Consider the following 27612-nt stretch of genomic DNA (forward strand, 5'->3'; position numbering starts at 1 on the left):
GACCCAGCAAATTCAGTTGACTGGGCTGGGAACTTCAAATGGTGGATTTGGTAGTTTAAACTGAGATTTATCATTTGAAAGTAGAGACAACAGATGAAAACCTATCAGCGTGGTATTTGGCATATAGTCAATGCACATCAAATGTTGACAGAATGAAAAATGAATTGCAGTTCAGAAGAATTTTTTTCTTGCTATTTCAAAGAACTAATTTCTGATCACTATACATTGTCATAGATTTTATAAAGCTGATGAATTCGATTGGTTTCAGCAGTTTTCTCCAATTTTTGTCCCTAGGGATTACTAGTGAAGTCCCTCTGGGTTTAAGTAAAGCTCAAGTGAGACCCTCTGCTCCTCAGCTTTTATGTGCAGAATCTCACAAAGTGAAATTATAGGTGATTATAAAATTCATCGCTGTCAGAAGCCAGATGATACCTCCCTGATAGGGTAAGAGTTGGTATCTTCTCAGCTGAACCAGTAAGCTGAAATAAGAACAAAATACAAAATGAGATTCTTCTTAGCCACCTGATCTGTTCTGTTATACTTACTGTAGACAACTAGGTTAAGCTTTGGTTTTCAACTTAATTTTCTCTCCAAAACGTCTGGTTTCTCTCTGCAGCAATTTTGTATGTCGTTATTTGTCATTGCCTAGTATTGATCCACTACTTCCTTCCTGGATCTCAAATAATTCAGCTAATCCCATGCCCCTGCCATGAATCCAGCATTTTCTGGAACTCATGTTGTCAAGTTCCCTTATACAAGGGAAATACACTAGAGCTTCCTCTGTCTCCCATATTCATTAGTTGGCTGCACACTGATGCATGAATGGAAAAGATATGTTTTCTCTGACTGGACTGTTAGCTTTTTGCACTACCAGTCAAGTATCTATCAGAACAACTGTAATGAAAACTATAAATCTCAACCTGAGGGAACAGTTAATGTGAAGGGTTTTCTTGTTTGTTTATTTTGTTCTGTTTTTATGGTCTCCCAAGCCCTGGTGTGGCATTAAGATTCAGGATATGAGCTATTGTGAGGCTATTGTAACATCGTGGGTCATTGTGTTAAACGTTTACATTTCCATTCAACTTGACTTTTCCTCTCACATAACCTATCCTTCGGAAAAGTGTCAGACATTGACAGCATAGAGAAAATTGTGGCCCACACATCATGTCAACAGAACTGTGTTCTTGTTCTGATGTATAACTTGTAGGTTTTAGAGTGAGCACTCTCTCAAATTCTGCAGCACAAAATCTAGAAATGATGAGATGGGAATCACATCTGTGAACAATGGCAAAGACAAAGAATAGTAAGTGGGAAGTGACAAAAAAACGTGTCTACTGTTCATTGTGTCAGTGGCCCCAAAATCCTAGAGAAGACTTTGAATGATTCTGACAAGTTAAAATATGTTGGTAATGACAACGTAGATTATTATCTATCTGAAGGATACAAAAATGACTTCAGAGAAGGCATTTTACCCTATGATTTGCTGAACACTTTTGCAGAAAAGACATTGTATTAAAAATGCCCAATTTGCAACTGCAAGTGTATTGTTCTACCTTTATAGAGCAGTAGAACAATCTCATGTCAAACTTCAGGGCTGCCCCGGAGGTCTTATTTAAATAGTTCTATGTCCCAGGCTCCAGATCTCTTCCTTTCTCCTGAAGATGTCAGTAAAGGGGCATCGTAATGATGATCCTGGGCCCCCATTAAACATTAAATTAAATTATAAATGGGAGCCTGTCATCATTATTATGTTTTTCTGTATGTCTAAAATAGCTTGTTTTATTTTATTTTATTTATTTTATTTATTTATATTTTTTTGAGATGGAGTCTTGCTCTGTCGCCCAGGCTGGAGTGCAGTGGCACGATCTCTGCTCACCGCAAGCTCCGCCTCCTGGGTTCACGCCATTCTCCTGCCTCAGCCTCCTGATTAGCTGGGATTACAGGCGCCCGCCACCACGCCCAGATAATTTTTTTGTATCTTTAGTAGAGGTGGGGTTTCACTGTGTTAGCCAGGATGGTCTCAATCTCCTGACCTCGTGATCCGCCCTCCTCGGCCTCCCAAAGTGCTGTGATTACAGGCGTGAGCCACCACGCCCGGCCAGCTTGCTTTAAAAACAAAAACTATTACTGAAAAAAAAAATGTGCCAATGAGATTGTTGAAAGATTAGCATTAAAAATTAAAATAAGGGCTTTAAAGTGGTGGCTCACGCCTGTAATCCCAGCAATTTTAGAGGCTGAACCGGGCAGATCATTTGAGGTCAGGAGTTTGAAACCAGCCTGGCCAACATGGTGAAACCCCGTCTCTACTAAAAATACAAAAATTAGCCAGGCGTGGTGGCACACGCCTGTAATCCCAGCAACTCAGGAGGCTGAGGCAGGAGAATCGCTTGAACCCAGAAGGTGGACGTTGCAGTGAGCTGAGATCATGCCATTGCACTCCAGCCTGGGTGACAGAGCAAGACTCCATCTCAAAAAAAAAAAAAAAAAAAAAATTAAAGTAGGAGTTTATGCATGTTAAAAAGCTTCTCCCTGAGATACCACGACAACGTAACTATCCAAAGCAATGCATCCTCTGAAAGACCAAGTCACCAGGTTTTATATTCTTGAAGAATGATTTTTAGATAATATAAGCAAATATAGCTCCGGCACGGTGGCTCACGCCTGTAATCCCAGACTTTGAGAGGCTGGGGTGGGAGGATTGCTTGAGCCCAGGAGTTCAAGACCAGCCTGGGCACAACATACGGAGACCCAGTCTCCTCAAAAAATCAAAAACTTAGCCAGGGCTGGTGGCACATGCCTGTGGTTCCAGCCACCTGGGAGGGTGAGGCTGGAGGATCTCTTGAGCCTGGGAGATTGAGGTTGCAGTGAGCCAAGATTGCACCACTGCACTCCAGCCTGGGTGACAGAGTGAGACCCTGTCATAAATAAATAAATAAATAAATAAATAAATAAAAGCAAATATAGTATATAAGGAATATAAGGAACATAAAGTTTAGCAACCCTAAAATAAGGAATATATATGAACCATCAAGTCTTATAAAGATGTAAAAATATTTCCCAAGGAATCTGTTATTATTCAATATAATGGCAACTGTTGTAAAATCATGTACATGAGTGGTGCTCACTAGGTTTTGCAAACATTTTAAATTGTTTAAATTGTACAAGTGTTTTTGAAAATATCTCCATGGACGTATTCTGAAATCTCCAAAATGTTCCTGGACAGTAAAAAATTTTTATTTAATGGGACTCAACAAGAAGGGAGCTAGCCTAGGGAAATACCTACAATTGCACCAAAGCAAAAGTTAACTCAGTTGAACATTTCTGATTTGTAAAAAATTGCTGCTGACTTTAAATGGTGAAAATAATTGCTTCAATTATTAGAATGTGTCCAAATATATATGTGTGTGTCCAAATATATATATATATATATATATATATATATATATATATATATATTTGGAGACGGAGTCTTGCTGTGTTGCCAGGCTGGAGTGCAGTGGCACGATCTCGGCTTACTGCAAGCTCCGCCTCCCGGGTTCAAGCGATTCTCCTGCCTCAGCCTCCCGAAATACTGTTCCTGATTTGGATAACCTTTGCTTGAGAAAACTTTATTCTTCTTCACCTGTATAATTTATTCTGGCAACTTCCGAATGTGTTTTCCTAAAGCTTCTTCCCTGATTGGAAGGAGGTTTAATATTTTGTGACACATGCAAACTTAACAGCCCCTATGTGAAATATTTTCTACTTTTGAAGGTGTGAAACTGGTTAAAATGTTTTAAAACTTTTCCCTTAATTGCAAAGGAAATGTATGTACATGTTAGAAGATTTAGAATATATAGATAAGCCAATAAAATTAAATAACAGTTCTATGTTGACACTTTTTGATGTATATCTTTCCATACATTTTCTGTGCTGTGCACTCACACACATACACACATGCATCCAAATGGAATAAACTAGTGAAACTTTACACAAAAACACATAAGCCAAAGTAATAATGATTAATATTTGGTAGTGTGGTTTACTAATACATACTGCTTGATATGAGCTTTCTTGGAATTTTAAATGTAGGTGGAACCCAAACCTTTTTCAAAATTTTACTTTAATGCTTTTAAGTTTGAGTTGTAGTGGTAATGCAAATGTCATTACCTTGAAATCATTCTTTCTCAAATGATAGAGTTCTCACAATACACGCCAGGAACGTACTGATGGGATTTTATTTGTGTGCTTGTTTGTTTTCATTGAACTGTTTGAATTAAACTCTTAGAATCATTCTTATGGTTTGAATCGCCATTACTTAAAAAGTAATTATTATTATTTCTGAAAATATCTCCAGTAATTACATCTACACTTGATCTTAGCCAAAAGGCCGAGAAGCAATGAATAATTACATCTACGGGAAAAAAAATGAACACCAACTTTTAGCACTACTTTTTTTCCATGTGGTGGAATGCAGAATGTTTATTGTTTACTTATGTTTTACGTCTGTATTTTTCAGTGTTTCACGAAGAGCATATATTGATTTTTATAATCAGAAAAAGAAATTCGTTAAAAAGAAGTAACAATGACTGAACCATTTTCCACCTGATACAGAACTACATGAGAACCATGGGTTCCAGAAATAACAGGCCTATTTTGTTTTGCTCAGTGATACATCTTTGAGGTCAAACTCCCAGAGTTTGTGCCGTCTCTTACAAAACAGCCTGAGTGGGAATCTGGTTTTCCTTTTTGGGTAAAGTTTCTACAAAGCTTGCTGATAAAACTCATCTTACTTTTGCAAAACAATTCCCTTACTTTGGGAGCCAAACAGAGATGAAGCTGATAACAGGACTCAGTTCTTCAACTTTAAAGCAGAAGCTAGGGTCATAAAGACATGGAGTCCTAAAATACTCTTCCAAAGTACAGTCGCATCCAGCTAAGATAACCCTTGGAAACGTTTGCTGAAAACATGCAGTTTGTTCATGCATCTCTTCCATGTTGGTCCTTTCCACCTTCTGTCACAAGCCACAGAAACTAGGGGAAGGCCAGGGAGCAGGTTCAGCTCATCTTCACCTGAATTCTGAGAAATTATTGAGAATCAAAGAAACCTCAGTGAGACGTTAACAAAAAGTAATCTGAGTGACATCTATGTAAAAGTCATTGCAAAGCACACTAGCTGCTAGACATATCTGGGGAGCTACCACCAATGCACTCCCTTGACAGAAAACCAGGACACCTCTTAGATGAGCTCCTTCTTTAGTGGAAAACCCTTATGTAATTTTAATTGACATCAATGCAAATCAGCCTGTATTGATTGAGTGTGCCTAATATACGCTTAATACTGAAACAAGTTGAAGTACCTCTCATAGACCCCCCATTGACTTTTCGTCTGACATCCCACACAACCAGCTCCAGCTTTGATGGAAGTCACACCATCACTCTAATGTTCTCTTCTATTTTTGATTCCTGCCTTGAAAGTCAGGATGAACTGGTGAAGATAAGACTTCTTTAAAGTACAGGAGAAATCTATTGGCACAGAATAAAAGCACTAATGTTTATTAGAGTTGTGCAAATAGCTGTTGTACTTAGTTCTGTCAACATTGCTTTTTTTTTTAATGATGACAATTCTTCACATAATTGCCAAGCTAAAGCAAAAGAAAACTTTCTCAATCTTTATGATGCTTTCATCAGATAACCAATATAAAGTATCTTCCAGAAGACTCTGTCTCCTCAGACTTTAGAGTTTGTTCTAGGGAAGTTAGAGATAAACAAAGATGGCCTTAATAAATCTCTCTAATGTTATAAATATACAGTTTCTGGTTCTTTTTCCCCTTGGGGCAGTGGGCCAGGTATCATCAACAATACAGATATTCTGGCCTTTCTCAAAAATGTCATTACATTAAGAACATTATGACTTAGCAAATTGTTGGAGAAAATTAGGAAGCTTTTTTTAGTAGTTCTGCCATCATTAAAAATCAGCTGCCTTCTGGGGAAACTGATGCCACACCTTTGATCAGGTGTTGTATTTGGACTGAAAACAATCCCCCAAAGAAGGAGATGTTTGCTTTCTAAAGAATGAAGCTCCAGGGAGGGTATTTAAAACTGATTTTTGGCAGCCATTAACAAACAAGCATGACATAATTGTATTTGGGGCCAGGAGTGTTTAGAGGGGTTTTTGTTTGTTCTATTGTTGAGAATTTGGAGGTAAGGAGTCCCTGAACTGCCATTACCCCTGCATTGGTTTGCTAGGGCTGCCCTAACAAAGTACCACAGACAGGTAGATTAGAAACAACAGAAATTCCTCACAGTTCTGGAGGCTGGAAGTCCAGGATCAAGGTGACGGCAGGGTTGGTCTCTCCCCACGCCTCCTCTGTGTGTGTCTCTGTCTTCATCTCCTCTTCTTATAAAGACACCAGTCAGGCCGGGTGCCATAGCTCACACCTGTAATACCAATACTTTGGGAGGCCGAGGCGGGCAGATCACAGGTTGAGACCAGCCTGGCCAACATGGCGAAACCAAAACCCCGTCTCTTCTAACAATACAAAAATTAGCTGGGTGTGGTGGCGTGTGTCTGTAATCCCAGCTACTTGGGAGGCTGAGGCAGGAGAATTGCTTGAACCTGGAAGGTGGAGGTTGCAGTGAGCCAAGATCGTGCCGGTGCACTCCAGCCTAGGCGACAAGAGCAAAACTCTATCTCAAAAAAAAAAAAAAAAAAAAAGACACCAGTCATATTGGATTGAAGCCCACCCTAATGACCTCATTTTAATTTAATCATTTCTTTAAAGACCCTATCTTCAAATATGGTTGCATTCCCACCATATTTAAGATCCTTTCTCCAAATATGGTACTGGGGGTTAAGGCTTTAGCATATGAATTTGGTTGGGGGGCAGGTGCACAGAGTGCAGTCCCTAACAACTCTGATTCAAGGTCTTTTCACCAAATCCATAAGCCCTTTGCTTTGTAGTTGTCAGAAGGGAAAGAGAGGAGACAGGAAGATATTCATGGCTTTTCCACAAGAGCTGACTAGCTTCTGCAGCAAATGTTTTTGTTTTTCCCCTCCTTCAGTAATGGATAGCTAAAAAGTCCACTGGGAACCTTGAGAGCACTTTGCTTTCTTTCCCTGTATTTCTTTGTTTCCCCCAAACAGAAGTGTGCCTCTGTCCCTCAGCATATGTCAGTTAGGAAACCACTCTCCTTGTGTTTGCATATAAGGGATGGGAAAGAGCTAGTCAGTGAACTCGGCCAATCAGAGGCTTTGTAACTGGCAGATACCTTGGAGAAAACCAGCCACCTGTTGTGCACCCACAGTATACCTGACCCTTTACCAAGCATGACATGTTCTCTCATTTACTCCTCCTAACATACCTGTGAAGCAGGTACTGTTGTCAACCCTAGCTTGCAGATGGGACAAGGGAATCTTGGACAAGTGTGGTAATTGGTGTAAAGTCCCAGAGCTGAGTACACTGTGGAGCAAGGATTTGAACCCAAGAAGTCTCATTCTAGAACCTTTGCTCTTAATCTCTTCTAACACCTTTCCCTAGTCTTATTGGTAGAGAAGAAACCTGTATGTAGAGAACTAACCATATTTTTCTCAGCACCCAGTATCGAGAATTGTCTCAGGGCCTCCCCGAAGACCTAGCTTCCAGTTCCAGCTCCACTAATCATTGCTAGCTGGTCTTGACATAGTCAATTAACCTCTCTGAGCTCGTATTCCATATGTAAAATAGGAGAATTGGATTACGGCCATGTTTCTCAAACTTTTAGGCTAGATCCATAAAAAGAAATACATTTTATTTGGCAACCCAGTACACACACAAACACACACACACACACTTCATAACCAAAACAAGTGTTTAATACCAAAATATCCATCCTTATTACATGTGAATGCCCTCTGATATTTTCTATTCTAATCTATTTTCATGATTTTTAAATATTAATTGTGACCTATTCTATTGGATTTGTCAAAAAGCTGAACTAGGTGACCCAGTTTAGACTCCTGGAATCCTAAAATCCTGTTAATCTATATAGATGTCTGTTTGGAGCTTCTCATATCTTGAATGCATATTTATTTTAAACAAATGAATATCACATATTACAGGGGACAACATCCTTTTTACCTCTGGTATGAGTTAACTGCATCATGGAAATAATAATAATTACTTCTATTTATTGTGTACCTCCCATGTGCCAGGGCTTTAAAATGCAGTATCTCCTGTAGCCTGTAGGTGGTAGGTATTCTCTCTGATTTATAGATGAGGAAACTAAGGATCTGATTAAGTAATTTGCTCAAGGCCCCATAGGCACCAAAGCTGTTTGAACCAAGGCCATTCTAATTCCAAAGCCCTTACATTCAACATTCTTTTCAGAGGAGGGTATATAAAGGGGTTTAGAAGGAGAGGTAAAGTCTAAAAGCTACCGCAGCTGCACATAATTTATTTCCTAATAGTTTGCTGTCCGTGGCAGAAATGACTGCCCTCTGGGGTGTGAAGCCACCGCTGCAGCAATGATTGAAATCACCTGGGAAGCTTAAACAATCGCCCTGCCCTCACCCAGGCCACCCCCGGACCCGTTAAATCAGAATTGCTAGGGGTGGAACCCAGGCCTTAGTGGTTTTTAAAAACCCCAAGGTGGTTCTAATATGTAGCCAAGGCTGGGAACCATTGCTCTGAAATCTCAGAAATTAAAGAGCTGTAAGGAGCTTTTCTATTTTACCTCCTGCAAACAAGATTTACTAAAATACTGCTTAAAGCTCTTTAACTGCTTCCACAGAGCTGAAGTACAGGACCTTTGCTGTTTCTTTGGAGCACACACAAAAATCTGATAAACAACCTTGTATCTGCTTTTCAACACACCTAGAGAAATTAGAGAATGCTAAGGATGTAGATGAGGAGATGTTTAAAGCAACTGTGGTATTCTGGAGAATCTAGCTCCGAGATACTTTATAACTCAGCTCATGTCATTTTGTTTTTCATTTCTTATTTTTACTTATTTACATATTTTTTCAGACAGAGTCTCACTCTGGCACCAGGCTGGAGTACAGTGGTGAGTCACAGCTCACTGCATCTCAAATTCCTGGGTAATTCTAACTCTCCCAGGATTGGAGTCTCCTGAGTAGCTGGAACTACAGGAGCACACCACCACAGCCACTTCATTTTTCACATTTTTTTTTGTAGAAGTGGGGTCTTGCTGTGTTGTCTGGGCTGGTCTTGAACTCCTGGCCCCAAGCGATCTTCCCGCCTAAGCCTCCCAAAATGTTGGAATTACAGGTATGAGCCACCACGCCCAGCCAGCTCATCTAATTCTGAAAGTTATTTTTGTATGAATGGAGAAGTCGGTTGCTGAATTAGCAGAATTGAGTGTGACCTGTAGCCATAGGCGAAGTGGACTGGGGACAATGTAGAATGCCAACAAAGACTAAAGTCACTGTAAATATGATAAGCCATCACATTTTCTTAAAAAGGGCTGGGTGTGGTGGCTCACAGCTGTAATCCCAGTACTTTGGGAGGCCGAGGTGGGTGGATCATTTGAGGTCAGGAGTTCAAGACCAACCTGGCCAACCCCACCTCTGCTAAAAATAAAATTATCTGGGCGTGGTGGCAGCCACCCGTTGTCCCAGCTACTCAGGAGGCTGAGGCAGGAGAATTGCTTGAACCTGGGAGGCGGAGGTCGCAGTGAGCCAATATCGCGCCACTGCACTCCAGCCTGGGACAGAGTGAGACTCCATCTCAAAAAAAAAAAAGGGTTGCGGGGGAGGCCTCAGTGAAAGATTTCCACTTTTTCACATGGATTATGGCAACTGTGGTGAAACCAGGAAGCCTCTCCCAAAGCATTTTCCACAGGAATAGGATGAAGTCATTTTACTAACCTTCCGGTCTTACCCAAATTTATACCAGGATTATTGCAGTGTGTGATCTATTTGCCATTTGAAATATAAATGATCAACACTCAATTTCACTGTCTTCCATGAAGGAGTCTTCAAAATGGGGGCTGTGCCATACTGCTGGGTTTTTTCCACATCTCAAGCCACAGCATTAATAATGTTAAAAATATCTGCAATTTTCATACTTCAGACAGTAAAAGCACGGCATTACCATAACCAAGAACAAATGCATGCTGTTCTCAAAGATGATTATATGTTTCTTTTAGACCCCTTAACAGACGGCAGGTCCTGAATTCTCCTGCTTAGGCCAACATGGATAGAGGTGCTATGCGTCTGCTCTGTCTGTAGTAAAAGCCCCCGATGTTTGACTGCTTACAGAATGACGTGGCCGCACTTCTGAAACCCATATCGGAAAAGATTCAGGAAATCCAAACTTTCAGAGAGAGAAACCGGGGGAGTAACATGTTTAATCATCTTTCGGCCGTCAGCGAAAGCATCCCTGCCCTTGGATGGATAGCTGTGGTGAGTCCAGGTGCAATGTTGCCTCTTCACCTCATCACACGTTTGGAGTATTTAGGAGAACTAGTAGCTTAGCTACCTTCACGCTCCTTGCACTGAAGGAAGCTTCTTCCTGGGCTGAATGCATCCACTTTCTCCTACCCTGTTTAAAGTTCAAGCTTTCTGTTCTGAGATACTGTAGAAAGTGTTTTTATCAACCTTTACAGAGCAACATGTGCCTCCCACTTTCAAGTCCACGCGTCTCCATTGCTTTTCTTCTTCTTTAAGGCATTTTCTTTCTTATCCTATTTTTTTTTCCTTCTATGCTTGGGTGACGGTCCTGTTTTCTCAGTCTCCCAAACCTGGTCCTTATGTCAAGGAGATGAATGACGCTGCCACCTTTTACACTAACAGGGTCTTAAAGGACTACAAACACAGGTACGTACCTTCCTTTACTCACCAAATTTTCAGTTGATTACTTGTTAGACATTTGTCCCTAAAACTCAGTCCAGTTAACTACTGATTCCTTTCCAAGGCTCTACACTAATGTACTATAAACTTTAAAGGAAAATCTAATCTTTGCAGATAAAGTCAAGTGGAAAGTGGAATCAATTATCCAGATAATATATGGGTTTTAGAAAGTCTGCCTCAGTTCTCTCATAATGAATAAACTCTCCCCACTTGAATGCATGTCACTATCTTATGTATTCCCACAATAATCAGAGAGCTTGGTGATGGAACAACCCTATATGGTACAGAACCTTTACATGCATCAAAGTAGAGTTGGAGGGTGAGCTATAGAAGAGAGGAGGAATCAGGAAATGAAGTGTGAATCAAGAACAGAAATGAGGTGAAACAACAAACCAGAGCAGTGAGAAGGAAACCAGAGACTCAGTTAATATGAAATACAACTGGGGTGTACGCAGAGACACCTGGAAGACTAGCAGCCATTCAGAGTGCTGCTGAAAGTATAGATGAGTCTAAACCAAGGGGCTTTGCCTGGTGAACCAGCGTGAAAGGACCTTGCGTTCGACAGCACAAGTAATAGATCCCAGAGTAACTTAAACTGGAGTCAGAATAGAAAATAGGCCCAAACGGAGACATGGCAGAGCTGAAGAAATATCCAGGAAAATGTGTCCTAAACTATTTAAAGGATATCATGAGATTCCAACCCCTCTGATAAGGTCGTGCCTTGTACTCTAAACAGCTGGCTAAATGTGATGTGGCTGGTGCCTAGGAACTAAGGGAAGGGATGAGGCAAATATAAGAGCAACAAGGTTCTACCTGCTTCTGGCCCTGGACTCAAGAGTGGATCTCCCTCTGAGCTCTTAGATGGCAGCAACAGAAGTGACCATTGGTCAGCAAATGCAGAGGCACCTGGGGACGTCTCATGTGTTGACCCAGACTGTTCAGGTGGAAGGAAATTAAAGAACCTGCATTATTGGATTATTGCTTCAATTCACCTTCTTTTTTTTTTTTTGAGATGGAGTCTCACTCTGTTGCCAGGCTGGAGTACAGTGGTGCGATCTTGGCATCTTGGCTCACTGCAACCTCTGCCTCCCGGGTTCAAGCGATTCTCCTGCCTCAGCCTCCCAAGTAGCTGGGACTATAGGTGCGCACCACCACGCCCAGCTAATTTTTGTATATTTAGTAGAGACGGAGTTTCACCATATTGGCCAGATGGTCTCAATCTCTTGACCTCGTGATCCGCCCACCTCAGCCTCCCAAAGTGTTGGGATTGTAGGCATGAGCCACTGTGCCTGGCCTCAATTCACTCCTTTATTTTACTAATGCAGATCTGAAAATTAGAACCAGAAGAAAAGGGTCTACAACAATATAAGACAAATTTTATATGGAATATAGAAAAATTGCATAAAATACATAAATAAATACCTAGTATACTTCCAGGCCATTAATTAATATTACATATTCAAAATTTTCATCACTTTTTTTGTAGATTTTTTTATTTTTAAAAATATTGAGTAGATACAAAAGAATATTTATAAAATACACACGAGATGTTAAGGATTACAATATAAAAAAATACCTATACATCCATCCCTCAAGTTAAGAACTATGTAACAATATTTTTTTACTATAAAAAGCAGACCAGGTGTGGTGGCTCACTCCTGTAATCCCAGCACTGTGGAAGGCTGAGACAGGTGGATCACTTGAGGTCAGGAGTTCATGACCAGCCTGGCCAACATGGTGAAACCCTGTCTCTACTAAAAATACAAAAAGCCGAGCGTGGTGGTGGGCACCTGTAATCCCAGCTACTCAGGAGGCTGAGGCAGGAGAATCACTTGAACCCGGGAGGCGGAGGTTGCAGTGAGCTGAGATTGTGCCACTGCACTCCAGCCTGGGTGACAAAGTGAGACTCCATCTCAAAAAAAAAAGGAGCCATATCCAGCAATTCCACTCCTAGGTGTATTTCCAAAAGAACTGAAAACATATGTTCACCCAAAATCTTGTACACAATATTCATTGCAGCATTATTCATAATAGCCAATAGATGAGAACAACCCAAATGTTCATCAGCTCATGAATGGATAAATAAAACATGGTATATCCACACAATAGAATATTATTTGGCCATAAAAAAAAAGAATGAAGTATTGATACTTCATTCTTTTATTCGGGCAGCAGCATGGATGAACCTTGAAAATATTGTGCTAAGTGAAAGAAGCCAGGCACAAAGACTACATATTGTATGATTACATTTATGTGAAATTCCAGGATAGTCAAATCTATAGAAAGAGAAAGTAGATTAACAGTTGCCTAGGGCTGGAGAAATTTAGGGAAAACTTAAACTTTTTAAAATTTAAGTTTTTTTTTAAGTTTTTAGTTTAAGTTTTTAGTAATGATTCCCTTTTGGGGAGTAATTGCTAATGGGTGTAGGGTTTCTTTTGGGGGGTGATGAATTATGTTCTAAAATTGATTGTGGTGGTGATTGCTCAACTGAGTGATAACTCTGCTGAGCTAAACTATGGAATTGCACACTGGAAATGGTTGAAGTGTATGGGATGTGAATTGTATTTCAATAAAGCTGTTTTATTTCAAAAAACAAAAAGAAAAACAAACAGCCATTGTATTCCCCTCACAGAATTTAGTCGTTCCATGTTGCTTTTGGGAAGAGGAGCTTTAGCAGACAGAACGCCGAATTCCAGGGTCTTCAGTGCGCCTCTTTTCCTCTTAGGGGCTCTGCCCACCCCGAGAAAACTTTGGTTAAAACAGTTGTGCTCAGTTACAGACTTTTTGCATCAAGGCAATTGTGCCCAATGATATGCCTCCAAATGTTGCCGTGTTGTATTAGAGACTTTAGAACTGTGCGGCACGCATGAGAAAGGCATCAGAAATGCAAGATGGTCTGTTCTTCTGACATAAAAATAACATTTCAGAAAAGAGCAAGTTTCAATTCCCAAACCTGGATATCATATGACAGCATGAACATACACCCATGGTGACTTCTTTTGTTCCAGATATACAGACACACACCTACACATGCCAGTTCAGGACAGCTCAAGCACTACCTAGGTTTCTGCCTTTTTACCTTCCACCCTTGGAGACTATTTTAATTAGTATCTCAGTTCATCAGCTCCTGTCCTTCTCCCAGTCCCTCCTTGAGTATATGTTGGGGCTGTGGGTGTGAGGGGTTCTCCCCAGGTAGCAGCATAGTCAAAAGGGTTGGGCTTTTCTACATGCTTTTTGTTCACAAAGAGGGTTCAGTATTTGCCCCTCAGTGTTAACTCTAGCAATTAAGTAGAAAATGTACTTCCAGTAGTACCAAAGATGACTCAGTTAAGCTCAGTGGACTACCTCAAGACTGTACAAGAAGCCGAAGAAATGCAGCTGGAAGTGCAAATGCATTCGTTTTACTGCTAGGAGTAGTCAAAGCACTCCCAGGTCACCCTTGAGCTTCTGAAAGCGGACTAAGCAGCATACTCCACACCATGCAACACCCATTTACCGGTGGACTCAAGCCCGTGGTGCCGTCTCTGTGTCGCAGTCATTTGTGCGTCACTGCTGCCCACTGGGCAGTAGGACCGTAGGTAGAGGAGTAGAAAGGCAGACTTCCTTGAGGTTTAAACAGGACTGTGAGCAGTGAAATCTGTATCTGTGCAACGCTTACCACCAGCTTGACTGCTCATTGGCTGTTTTTCTCTTTCTTTTTTATTTTTTTTGATACAGAGTCTCGCTCTGTCACCTAGGCTGGAGTGCAGTGACACGATCTCAGCTCACTGCAATCTCTGCCTCCCGGGTTCAAGCAGTTCTCCTGCCTCAGCCTCCTGAGTAGCTGGGACTACAGGCATGCACCACCACACCCAGCTAATTTTTTTGCATTTTTAGTGGAGACGGAGTTTCGCCATGTTGGTCAGGCTGGTCTCAAACTCCTAACCGCAAATGATCTACTCACCTTGGCCTCCGAAAGTACTGAGATTATAGGCGTAAGCCACCCCGCCCGGCCTGGTTCTTTCAATATATGAATACAGCAAGTCATTTATTTTAGCTTTATAGAGGTGTGGTCTCTCTGAGTCATAATCATTAAAATTCACATTCCCCTACCATAGCTTCTTCCAGAGTATATGAAAACTGAAGATAGGTTTGCAGCTCCTAATGTGTATTTGGGTCCTGCTCAATTTGTTACCCCTTAAAGACTGATTTCAGGTAAAAGGGCACCATACTCTTAGTCCTTATTACAAGTTTTGCTAGAACGTTCTTCAAGTCAAAATAATACTGCATTGGTTAAAAAAAAAAAAGAATTTGCCCATATAGACTTGAATTTCATCCACTGTTAAATTTTTTAATGGAAAATATACTGAATCAGACATGGTGGCTCATGCCTGTAATCCCAGCTCTTTGGGAGGCTGAGGAGGGAAGATACCTTGAGGCCAGGAGTTCGAGACCAGCCTGGGCAACATAGTGAGACCTCCATCCCTACAAAAAAATTTAAAAATTATCTGGGCATGGTGGCGCACATGTAGCTGTAGTCCCAGCTACTTGGAAGGCTGAGGTGGGAGGATCACTTGAGCCCAGGAGGTTGAGGCTACAGCAAGCTATGATCTCACCATTGCACTCCAGCCTGGGTGACAGAGCAAGACCCTGTCTCTAAAAAAAAAAAAGAGAAGAAAGTATATTGAATGTCAACATGCTATTTCTATAATGTCCACAAACATACATGTGTGTTGTATGTACATACACATATAAACATAGACATATGTGTGTACATTTATATTGAAGTAATGTTCATGCTCTAATAATAGCTATGTGTATACTGCTTCCTATGTGCTAGGCACTGTACTAAGACCCTTATAAGACCCTACAGACTTAGGAAACTAACAAGAGAGACCGTTGGAGCTACACTTAGTTTTTGAGTTTTGACTGTGAAGGTGAGGTAAAGCGACAATGAGATTTTTCATACATTTGATGAATATATCAGTACATCTAAAAATGTAGAACAAAACCACACTCACATTTTTTCTATTTGTGGAGTGAATAATTGTGACTTCAGTTCCCAATTTCACTCCTTCTAAATGGCATGCCTTAATACAATAGGATTCTAAACATGCTGGTGGTACTTTAGGGCTTTTCAAGGAAAACAAAATATGTCTAGAGACAAGTCATTATTACAAGAGCTTTAATAATAGAGATTTCCATTCATGATTATCTTCAGATTAATGGCCCAGGAACATAATTAAATTTTTCTTAACTCAAATGTCATTATTTTTGCATTTACCTTGACTTCTATAAGTGAGAAAAAATATATTATAGGTAAAAATTGCCGAAAGGAAATGCAACTATTTTTACCTATCTATAAGTTTAATATTTCTAACAATTCTTTCAATCTTGTATGTTAATCCCATTATAAAAGGTAAGCATTTTACTAGCCCTTGGTTCAATAAAATAGAGATAAAAATACTGGTGATGCCTTGCCTGGTTTGTATTGTCATTCAAAGTATTAAATTAAGGGAATTTAAGTAAATGTCCCTTTAGAAGTAAGGGGTGTTACCTGTTTGTAAGAGATCAATTTTCTTCCTATACCAACTTCTTTGTCAGTCATAATGGCTAAAATTCTCCAATTTGGTTATACTTTTAACCAAATAATTCAACAGAATTATTAGAAAATGAACCCAATGACTTTTTTTTTCTTTTTAATACCATTCTCATTCCTGGGAGTATATTGTCTCTCATTTTGCATCAGAAGCAGTGCAGAAAGAAACAGTCTCCCCTCCACGCCCCCGTCACGTGAGGGCTGACTGGGACAGTGCAAGGACACCCTACTCAAGTCAGCTTAGCTCTGTCGGGTCCCCTCTCTGTGGTACCTCTGCTCCATACCCGGAGCTCAGGGCATCCGGCCACCTGCCGCCTCCCCTCAGGAGAGTACTGGGCCAGCTTCCTCCCAGGGTTCCCTTCTGAAGCCCTTCACGGTGCCTGGGTTGCAAGGACGATTGCTCCGGGCTCCAGGGCCCCTAGTCACTAGATAACCATGTGCCCCCACAATTTTTTTAAAATTTTATTTTAGATCCTAACTCTGCTTTCTTCAACCCTCTTTCACAACAAAGTGATTTGCGTCATGTGGATTGGGTGAAGTCATATTTGAACATTTGGAGTGAACTTCAAGCATACATCAAGGAACACCACACCACGGGCCTCACATGGAGCAAAACAGTGAGTACGAGGCCTTCCTCCACGTGTGTAAAAAAAGGCCATGACTATATATACACCCTGTGGCCCAGTAATCTCACACCTTAAAACTTACCTCAAGGAAAATGTAAGATTAAATGTCCATGTGGAGGGCCAGGCGCGGTGGCTCACGCCTGTAATCCCAGCACTTTGGGAGGCTGAGCTGGGCAGATCATTGAGGTCAGGAGTTCAAGACCAGCCTGGCAAACATGACAAAACACTGTCTCTACTAAAAATATAAAAATTAGCCAGGCATGGTAACGCACTTCTGTAATTCCAGCTACTCAGGAGGCTGAGGCATGAGAATTGCTTGAACCCAGGAGGCAGAGGCTGCAGTGAGCCGAGATTGCACCATTGCACTCCAGCCTGGGCGACAGAGCAAAACTCTGTCCAAAAAAAGCCCATGTAGAAACGGTTTATGGAAATGTCATTTGTTGTAGGAGAAATTTCGGAGCTCCCTACATAACATAGAAAAGAAATAGAAAAGAAAATGGCTGGCAGGGCGCAGTGGCTCTCACGCCTGTAATCCCAGCACTTTGGGAGGCCGAGGTGGGCAGATCACCTGAGGTCAGGAGTTTGAGACCAGCCTGGTCAACATAGTGAAACCCCATCTCTACTAAAAATACTAAAATTAGCTGGGTGTGGTGGCACATGCCTGTAATCCCAGCTGCTTGGGAGGCTGAGGCAGGAGAATCACTTAACTCGGGAGGCAGACGTTGCAGTGAGCTTAGATCGTGCCACTGCACTCCAGCCTGGGCCACAGAGTGAGACTTCATCTCAAACAAACAGCAACAACAACAAAAAAGGAAATGGCTAAGTCGTCCATGGTAAGAATGCAATGAAACACTCTACAGCCATTAAAATGCTTTACCAGTTAATGTTAAGTGATAAAGTCAATTGCAAAAGTTTATGAGTATTAAGATGATGTATATGTTAAGAAATTGCGTGATAGAGGCTGGGCACGGTGACTGTAATCCTAGCACTTTGGGAGGCCAAGGTGAGTGGATCACCCGCGGTCAGGAGTTCGAGACCAGCCTGTCCAACATGGCAAAACCCCATCTCTGCTAAAAATACAAAAAACAGCCGAGCGTGGTGGTGCACGCCATAATCCCAGCTACTCAGGAGGCTGAGGCAAGAGAATCGCTTGAATCCGGGAGGCGGAGATTGCAGTGAGCCAAGATAGTGCCACTGTACTTCAGCCTGGGTGACAGAGCAAGACTCTGTCTCAAAAAAAAAAAAAATGTGTGATAGAAATTGAAGGGAACAAGAAGGTTTGAAGACAGGTGTACATGGAAAGCTATGCAGCCATAAAATAGAACAAAATCATGTCCTTTGCAGCAACATGGAAGCTGCTAGAGACCACTATCCTAAGCTAATTAACTCAGGAACAGAATGCCAATACCGTGTGTTCCCACTTACAAGTGGAAGCTAAATAATGGGTACACGTGGACATAAAGACGGGAAAAACAGACACTGAGGACTGCTAGAGATAGGATGGAGGGAGGAGTCCAAGGACTGAAAAACTACTTACTGGGTACTGTGCCTACTACCTGGGTGACGGGATCATTCACACCCCCAAACCTCAGCATCATACAATATACCCACGTAACAAACCTGCACATGTATCCCCTGAACCTAAAGTAAAGGTTGAAATTATTCCAAAAAAAAGAGAACAAGATAGATGTCATTTTAATGAGGTGGAATTATGATTAAAATGTCCTTTAAATGTTCTTAACTTCTCTTTTAGTGTTCTAAAGTGTATTGAATAGTATTTTTGAGTACCTAGGCGATCCTAGGACTTTGGTATCTTAGTAGCAGCATAAGATCACAGCCTGTGTCTGTTCCCACTTTAATTCCCATGTGAGATGTTGCGCTGACCTTTGCCCCTTTCAGCTTTATCTCTCACATCCTCTCCCATGTCTCACCGTGTGTTCCAGCAACCCCTCACTCCTTGTGGTATCCTGAACAAAGCCAGTGCTTGGATTGCACCAAATGAAATTGATGTTGTTTCAAAATTTACCGAACTCATATTGTGTAACCTTTATTGCAATGTCCTGAACCTATATCCTGCTGTATAACCTAATTTCCCCCGGGGAGGTACCCCTACCTCTTCTGCAAGACTCACCTCACACATCACCTCTTTAAGAAACTTCCATTGATCTCCATCAGCTCCCCATCTGGGTTGACTGGCTCTGCTCTCTGTCTGCCTCCTTTGCATCTTGAGTATACCTCAGTCATATCCTTAGCATGTGGAATGGTGCTTTACTGTGTGCTTTTGGGACTCTCCCACTAGATTGGAAACTCATCTCTTGTCTCCAGCCCCTAGTATAGTGCCTGGCACAGAGTAAGTGCTCAGTAAATGGTTTGAACTAAATGATCATGAGGGGACTCTTAGAATGTTTCTTGCCCTTTTGAATCTCTGCACTTGCTTTTCATGGAAACTCCTTTCCATTAGAAATTAATGTTACAGTGGACTTAAGGGACTTGAGGGAAAGGTTGGGAGGGGGCTGAGGGATAAAAGACTACAAATTGGGTACAGTGTATACTGCTCAGGTGATGGATGCACCAAAATCTCACAAATTACCACTAAAGAACTTACTCGTGTAACCAAACGCCATCTCTTCACCAAAAACATATGGAAATCAAAATAAAATAAAGAAATTAATGTTAACTTGAATGAAACAGCTTCTTTGTGAATTCCATTCAGAGGTAAAACTCACTGTCCTGAAAGCAGTACCCCAGCACCCAACCCTCCATGCTGGATGTCCCTGTCAGTATAGTAAGCAGGCTTCATGCCAAAGGAGAGTTTGTGGTTTTTCAAGAGAGTGTGGGGCCTTCTACATTTGTTTTCCAACACTTTTACAAATGTTAACACGACCCTTCAAGACTGATGTTTCTTTTTATATTCTACTTCGCCTATTTTCTCCATAGCACTGAAATGCACAGTGCAAGATACAACTAAGCGGATTGTTTTTTTTTTCCTAACCACAACATTGTGACTTTTGAGAAGAGAATTCAAAAACATGTGAAGGGTTTTAATAAGTAAGGGTATGTGTGGATATGGATGGGTGTTTATGTAGACTAATTGGAATTATTTTTTATCGATTTCCAATGAGATAGTGTTTTGTTGTACAGCCATGTATCATAAAGAGAAAGTGTCACATCTTTGCCATGGTGATAGATCATTATTAGAGAACAGTAAAATGAAAATCAGGAGCCCTTGGCTCTATTATTATTTCATGGTAGATAAAGGCCAGAGGAATGAGAATCCATTTATGGAAAATAGTGTCAACAAATGCTAGCCTGTTAATTCTCTAATGGTGCCCATGGAAAATGAATAGAAAATTACTTTTAAATGGTTTGAATACCTTTAATGCAATGTGCAAAGCTGAGTAATTGTGTTTATGAATATAAAAGAGAATTGATTATTAATTACAGAAAAATATAAATGTAGTTGTCTTCCTTTGTTCTAAAGTGAATACTTATTATGTTCAAGCTTCACAAAACAATACTTGCTCTTACTATGTACAACACATTCAGATATTTTATTTTTTATTTCATTTTTTATAAAATTCTGGCTGAGACCCAATAAATTGATTTCATGACCCCACTAGTGAGTCATATCTCACATTTTTTAAAATGTGTTATAAGCTAGGTGTGGTGGCTCACGCCTGTAATCCCAGCACTTTGGAAGGCTGAGGCAGGTGGATCACCTGTGGTCAGGAGTTTGAGACCAGCCTGGCCAACATAGCAAAACACTGTCTCTACTAAAAATACAAAAATTAGCCAGGCATGGTGGCGGGCACCTGTAATCCCAGCTACTTGGGAGGCTGAGGCAAGAGAATCGCTTGAACCCGGGAGGCAGTGGTTGTAGTGAGCCGAGATCGTGCCACTGCCCTTCAGCCTGGGCAACAAGAGTGAGACTTGGTCTCAAAATAAATAAATAAATAAATAAATAGTTATAAAACGTGTTACATTTATACAAAATAAATATGATCCATAGAGCACATCAGGCATCATGGATTGCCATGACAGCTGTTATTTATATTATACATATTATGTGCTCACATAATATGCCAGGGGAATATTCTATTCAAAATGGTAAAAGCAAAGCATCTACTTCACTTCTCTAATGGAAGAGAAAATGATAAAGTTTTGGTCAGATATTAAAAATGATTAAAAATCTTTTGTCAAGCTTTAAAACATATGCCTAGAAATATATTTCCTGATTTTTTATCTTATTCTTCCAAGGTTTGGGCAGCTATTAAAAAGTATATTATAACAATTATATTTTTGAATTTTAAAATCAAATTTCTTTTAAATTATTAAAAACGACTTAAAGATTCCAAAGCATAGTCCATAGCATAAATCAAGCTAATTTCTCCTCTCTGACTGTGGCCTGTCGACATTCCAGCAAAATGGAGGATAAACAGTTATAGCCAGAGTTGCAGCATTCTTGCAGAGAAGAGAAAAGGACTCCTAGAATCATCTGATTGAATGGTCTTTGGGAGGAAAAAATAAAGCAAGACCATTTCATTTGTTTGCCCACTGATCACAACTCTGTAAAAACTATGTATTTATAAAATGATAAATATCATGAAAGACTATAGAAAGATGTGGTGTTGATGTTTGTGGACACCACAGTATTCAGAGATTTTTTTTTTAATTTAATTTTTTTGTTTTTTTGAGACAGGGTCTCACTGTGACACCCAGGCTGGAATGCAGTGGCACAATCATGGCTCACTGCAACCTTGACCTCTTGGACTCTAATGATCCTCCTGCCTCAGCCTCCCGAGCAGCTGGGACTACAGGCCTGCACCACCACACCTGGCTAATTTTTTTATTTTTTGTAGAGACAGAGTTTTGCCATGTTGCCCAGGGTGGTCTAGAACGCCTCAGCTCAAGGAATTTGCCCACCTCGGCCTCAGAAAGTGCTGGGATTACAGGCGTGAGCCACCACATCCAGCCCAGAGGTTTTTCAAAAAAACCCATTCCATCTTAACAGACACAGTCCATTGCACAAAACTCCTACTTGCACCGTGAAAAGTTTATGACGACTTAACATCTCAAGTACTTTCAGTAATTGTTGTTTTTTTCTATTTTCAAATTGGATTTTGAGATTTGCACTCTGTGGGGTTTTTAGTGACTGACAGCCTGCTGTTTGAGACCTGGACTGTCCAAGGGCACGTGGCTCTACAAAATCATCCTTCCCTGAGTTAACAGTTGGAGCTGAAAGTCCCTGATCCCATCTCCTAACCTCTGCCTCCAGACCGCAGCTGTGTCAGGCAACTGCTGCCCTGTTCAGTTGTCAGGGTGAAATGCCAAACTTTGAGACCAGCGATTTGAAGAGAGTCTACGTGTGTGTGCAAGTGTGCCGGGTGGGGTGGGGTGAGTTGGGTGGGAGGAGGCAGCTGTGGAATAATCTGTCTGGAATGTCTTCTTACATTTACCATGGTAAATGGAATCTTGTCATTTCTATGAGCTTTTTTCCAACTTATTAAGACAGCTGTCAACTAGAAAGACCCCACACCAGAAACTAACTTGCTGTTTTCAGTTAGTTTCATCCTTGGGACTGGACCTCTTTTTCATATGAGTTTGTGTCATTTCCTCAGTGCTAAGTTTCAAATGCACTTCGTTGAACAAATTGATCTTTTGGCACAAACCCATTAGCAGCACTGTTACTTAGGATCCCTCGCAGTTGGTCAGAGCTGTAATATTCCTTGGCATTTCCTTCAAATCAGATAACTAAAGTCGAAAGACTAAGGCCTAGTCTTTACCCTTATAATTATTGAAATAATTGACTTTTTTCCTACAAAACTCTTCATTTCTGTGAATCTATAAATGCAGACTATTATCCTGTTCTAAAAACAGACTATTATCTGTTCAGAAAATTCTGCTCAGATAAAGGTCATGTAAAGAATTCTATGATTAGGAGAAATGTGATTATTTTATTAACTTTCGGTTGTTAAACTTGTTGACATATTTCTGTCCTTTCCTATATTTCTGAATTACTTTAGCTTTGGGATCAAATAAGATATAATTATTTGTAGAGTAGAATAAAACTGCACATGGATGAATGTATATACAGTCTTATGTAATAGTGATGTAGTTCTATTTTTTTTGTTGTTACTGTTTTTTGTTTTGTTTTGTTTTTTTGATACAGAGTTTCGCTCTGATGCCCAGGCTGGAGTACAGTGGCACGATTGCAGCTCACTGCAGCCTTGACCTCCTGAACTCAAGCAGTCCTCCTGCCTCAGCCTCCTAAGTAGCTGAGGCTACAGGCGTGCACCAACATGCCTGGCTAATTTTTATATTTTTTTTGTAGAGACGTGATTTCACCACGTTGCCCAGGCTGGTCTCAAACTCCTGGGCTCAAGTGATCCGCCTGCCTTGGCCTCCCTAAGTGCTAGGATGATAAGCATGGTAGGATGATAAGCTGCACCCAGCCAATGTAATTCTTAATAATACGGGTTTTAAAAATCCATCCTATACACTATCATCCATCCTAGCCTCTCCTGAACCTCCAGGAAAATGCAAGTCGTTGGTGGTGGTTACAATTATAGACAAGGTGGCGTTTCATTTTTCCCAAAGCAAAATGCTTTAGGATCACTTCTTTTCCTCCAGGTAGATATTTCTTTTCTTTCTGTTTCTTGGTGTAAAGGCCAAATGTCTGTTAACAAAGTGAAAGTTTAATAGCTTACTTTTGATCAAATTAAAACTCAGCCAGAGGGTATCCCGACTTATTATAAATAATGTAGACTCTGTGGCATGTCATTAACTATGAATATGTATGCCTTGTACGTTTTCAAGTCTTCAGGCCTCTTTACCTTCCTCTTGCTATTTACAAGAGAAAACTGTTCTTAAGCTTTTATATCCAAATTTTCATTTAGAACTTGTACCAAACCCACACCTTAGGGGTATTAATCAAAGTGAATGGGCAGCGCCTCAGATGATGTGTTGGTTGTCTGATGACAAAGCTCACTGTTCTCTATGGCTCTTCCCACGGAGTGGCCCTGGCCAGTGTACCTGACCACAGCTGCGTCGTTCTACTTAGTTCAGTTTGGGCTTCTAGGTCCCTTCTGGGGCTCTGGGTGGCCAGTTACTCTTATTCTCTTATGGAAGGGTTCCACATTGCTCAACAGGGGTTAGAAGTGTCATCAACTGGCTGGGCGCAGTGGCTCATGCCTGTAATCCCGGCATTTTGAGAGGCCGAGGCGGGCAGATCATGAGGTCAGGAGATCGAGACCATCCTGGCTAACACGGTAAAACCCTGTCTCTACTAAAAATACAAAAAAAAAAATTAGCCGCACAAGGTGGCGGGTGCCTGTAGTCCCAGCTACCGGGAGGCTGAGGCAGGAGAATGGCATGAACCTGGGAGGCGGAGCTTGCAGTGAGCCAAGATGGCACCACTGCACTCCAGCCTGGGCCACAGAGCGAGACTCCGTCTCAGAAAAAAAAAAGAAGTGTCATCAACTAACAAAGAAGCCTCAAATGCACAGGTAGATAGTAAAGTTAGGTTGGAAGTGGCTGTGAGTTCAGCCTGACAGAGACCACATAATTAAACCAATATGGCTTAAGCATCTACTATGCACTGAGTTCTGGGCAAGGGGCTAAGAATACAAAGATGGGTAGATGGCATTGTGGACACGATTCCTGTCCACGGAAACGCGCATTCTAGCTGAAGAAGATGAGCAATGCACCATGATAGAACAGGGGGAGCAGTGTGCTAGGGAATCCACACAAGGCATGACGCTTGCATAGACCAGGACCACGTGGAAGATACGGCCCATCCTGTAGTGCAGCATGGTTCTGGGGCCAACAGCAACCTGGGCACTTGTTAGAAAGCTCAGGCCCCTTGATTGGGCGCGGTACCTCAAGCCTGTAATCCCAGCACTTTGGGAGGCTGAGGCGGGTAGATCACCTAAGGTCAGGAGTTCGAGACCAGTGTTGCCAACATGGTGAAAACCTGTCTCTACTAAAAATACAAAAATTAGCTGGGCGTGGTGGTGCAGACCTGTAATCCCAGCTACTCAGGAGGCTGAGGCAGGAGAATCGCTTGAACCTGGGAGGTGGAGGTTGCAGTCAGCCTGCATTGCACCACGGGACTCTAGCCTGGGCGACAGAGCAAGACTCTGTCTCAAAAAAGACAAAAAGGAAAGAAAAAAAAAGAAATCTCAGGCTCTCAGGCCCCACCTCAGCCCTCCCAAATCACAACCTACTTTTCAACAGGATTCCCAGGTAATTTATATGCATAGTGAAGTTCGAAAAGCACTGCTCTACTGTATTTAAGTTGGGCCAAAGGAGTTGTTATAGGGAAATCATTCACTTTTACACGTTCATTTATTTAGTAATTCACTTCCTTGGTAACTACTTATTGGCTACTTACCATGTACCAAGCACACACCAGGCATTATATTTATACTACAGTTCTTCCGTGAAGCAGCAGGGTTTTTATTATGATGCATAAATAAATAACAGCAATACAAAGCTAGGTTGGAAAATAAGCCTTGTGAATTAGACTCCTTCCTGGGTGGGCACGAAGAGCCACAAAAGGGCTGACACTTGATTTGGATCTTGACGGTGAGCAGGAGTTCCCTAGGCAAACAGTAAAGGGAAGGGCAGTTTTGGGGCAGAGAATTCAGCATATGTACGTAAGACATGAACAATGTACTTTGAGAGAAAGGCTGGTGGTTTTGCAGAGCTGAATGTGGCAAAAGGTGAGGCCAGAAAGGCAGGTTGGGGCCAGATGGTGAAATCCTTATGCATTATGCTAAGAAGGTGGGGCTATGTAGTGTTTGAAGTTGTTTCCTTTGCCATAGGTTTTGTTGTTTGTTTTTTGTTTTTGAGACAGAGTCTCACTCTGTCGCCAGGCTGGAGTGCAGTGGCACGATCTCGGCTCATTGCAACCTCCGCATTCTGGGTTCAGGTGATTCTCCTGCCTCAGCCTCCAGAGTAGCCGGTACTACAGCCATATGCCACCATGCCTGGCTGATACCTCAGGTGATCCACTCGCCTTGGCCTCCCAAAGTGCTGGGATTACAGGTGTGAGCCACCGTACCCAGCCTGCATGGGTTCTTAAGCAGAAAGCAACACACTGTGAATAATGACTTAGGAATTGCATAAGATAGATGGAGAGGGGAAGAGATTAGAGGCCCTGATACGTGTTGGGAGACTTTAGTGGATGGCTAGAGGGTGAGGTAGTTAGTATGTGACCTAGAGTGTGACAATGGCAATGCAAAGAGATGGAGTAGCCACTGAGTTGGAGGACAAGGGACATAAAATCTAACACAAAATTTCCAATCTGGAAGTCTGGGAGAGAATCGTGGTAATATAAAAATAGGGAAATCGCAAGGAGGAGCTGGTAGAGAAGGAAGAAAAATCTTCACCTGGGGTTTCACTGCATTGTGTTTGAGGTGCGGGAGGTATAGGAGAGACATCCAAACACGTGGAGTCAGGAGGTGAGATTTAGATCTGGAATTCACTGAAGGGGGAGACCCCGATGTACGTGTTGGGAGTCATCTACCTAGAAAAGACCGGCAAATAAATAAGATGGTTAAAAAAGAGAGAGTGAGATCAAGGATAAAACCTTGGAAAACACTATTATTTCAAGAATGGGGTAAACTAATCAAGGAGACAAGAGATAGGAGAACTAGAAGAATGGAGAGTCTCAAAGCTATAGGGAAAACAGGCTGGCCAGTGATACCAACTGTAGTAAGCTGTGGTGAATAAGGATTGGACAAAGGCTGTCATCAGCCATGTTTACCATGTTATTAGTAACCTTCCAAGAGCAGTTTCTGGAGGACTGGAGGCAGATGCAGTTTTACAGAATTAAGGAGTAAAATGTTTTTGTAATCAAAGTACTTTGGGAGGTTGAGGCGGTTGGATCACAAGGTCAAGAGATCAAGACCATCCTGGCCAACATGATGAAACCCCGTCTCTACTAAAAATACAAAAATTAGCTGGGCGTGGTGACGCATGCCTGTAGTCCCAGCTACTCAGGAGGCTGAGGCAGGAGAGAATGGCTTGAACCCAGGAGGCAGAGGTTGCAGTGAGCTGAGATCGCGCCACTGCACTCCAGCCTGGTGACAGAGAAAGACTCTGTCTCAAAAAAAAAAAAAAAAAAAAAAGGAGTAAGAAGTTTTCCTGTAATGATCTCTTGATTATTTCTGGACCAGTTGTCTAATTTGATGGATTATTTCTTATGGCTTCAATTTCTGCCTTTTGAAATTTGGGGTATTTGTGAATTTTCATTTTAATCTGTGCTATATCTTCAATAGAATAGGTGAAAAATAGTCAAATATCTCCAATTTCACACACAGTCATTAAGAGCTATACTGTGAAGCTCTAAGTAAATGTGTTCTATTTAGAACTGTTTTTATTATCTCATAAATACCTTTGAGTTTTAGTGTCAGTTGATAATGATGCAGGGAAGGTGAACCCCAAAAGTGGGGCTTAGCCAGGAGGGTTCTTGGCTTTGCCCAGGCGAGAATTCAAGGGTGAGCCAGCGGTGTTAGACAGCAGCTTCTATGGCAGCAGCAATGTGCAGCAGCAGCAGGGGTACCATAGGAACT

The 27612-nt window shown here is 41.4% G+C and overlaps 1 protein-coding gene and 1 long non-coding RNA gene across 4 annotated transcripts in view; one reads left to right on the forward strand and one right to left on the reverse strand.

Moving 5' to 3' along the window:
- Positions 1-27612, forward strand: part of CAP2 (cyclase associated actin cytoskeleton regulatory protein 2) — a 164186-nt gene that overhangs the window by 103334 nt on the left and 33240 nt on the right. For 2 of the 3 annotated variants that reach the window (NM_006366.3, NM_001363534.2), the window contains 3 exons: positions 10241-10384; positions 10713-10798; positions 16921-17026. The exons of the other annotated variant lie outside the window; for it this stretch is intronic. In NM_006366.3, coding sequence (NP_006357.1) covers positions 10241-10384; positions 10713-10798; positions 16921-17026 — 336 coding nt within the window. The remainder of the gene's footprint in view (positions 1-10240; positions 10385-10712; positions 10799-16920; positions 17027-27612) is intronic. 3 annotated transcript variants of the gene reach the window in all.
- On the reverse strand, positions 4432-14337 carry LOC101928491 (uncharacterized). The gene is made up of 4 exons (NR_110855.1): positions 14177-14337; positions 11645-11765; positions 6286-6420; positions 4432-5059 (listed from the first exon to the last, which is right to left on the reverse strand). It is a non-coding gene; the product is annotated as an uncharacterized LOC101928491 (long non-coding RNA).

This window comes from Homo sapiens, chromosome 6 (genome assembly GCF_000001405.40).
Source record: "Homo sapiens chromosome 6, GRCh38.p14 Primary Assembly".
In the NCBI taxonomy this organism is placed as follows: Eukaryota; Metazoa; Chordata; class Mammalia; order Primates; family Hominidae; genus Homo; species Homo sapiens.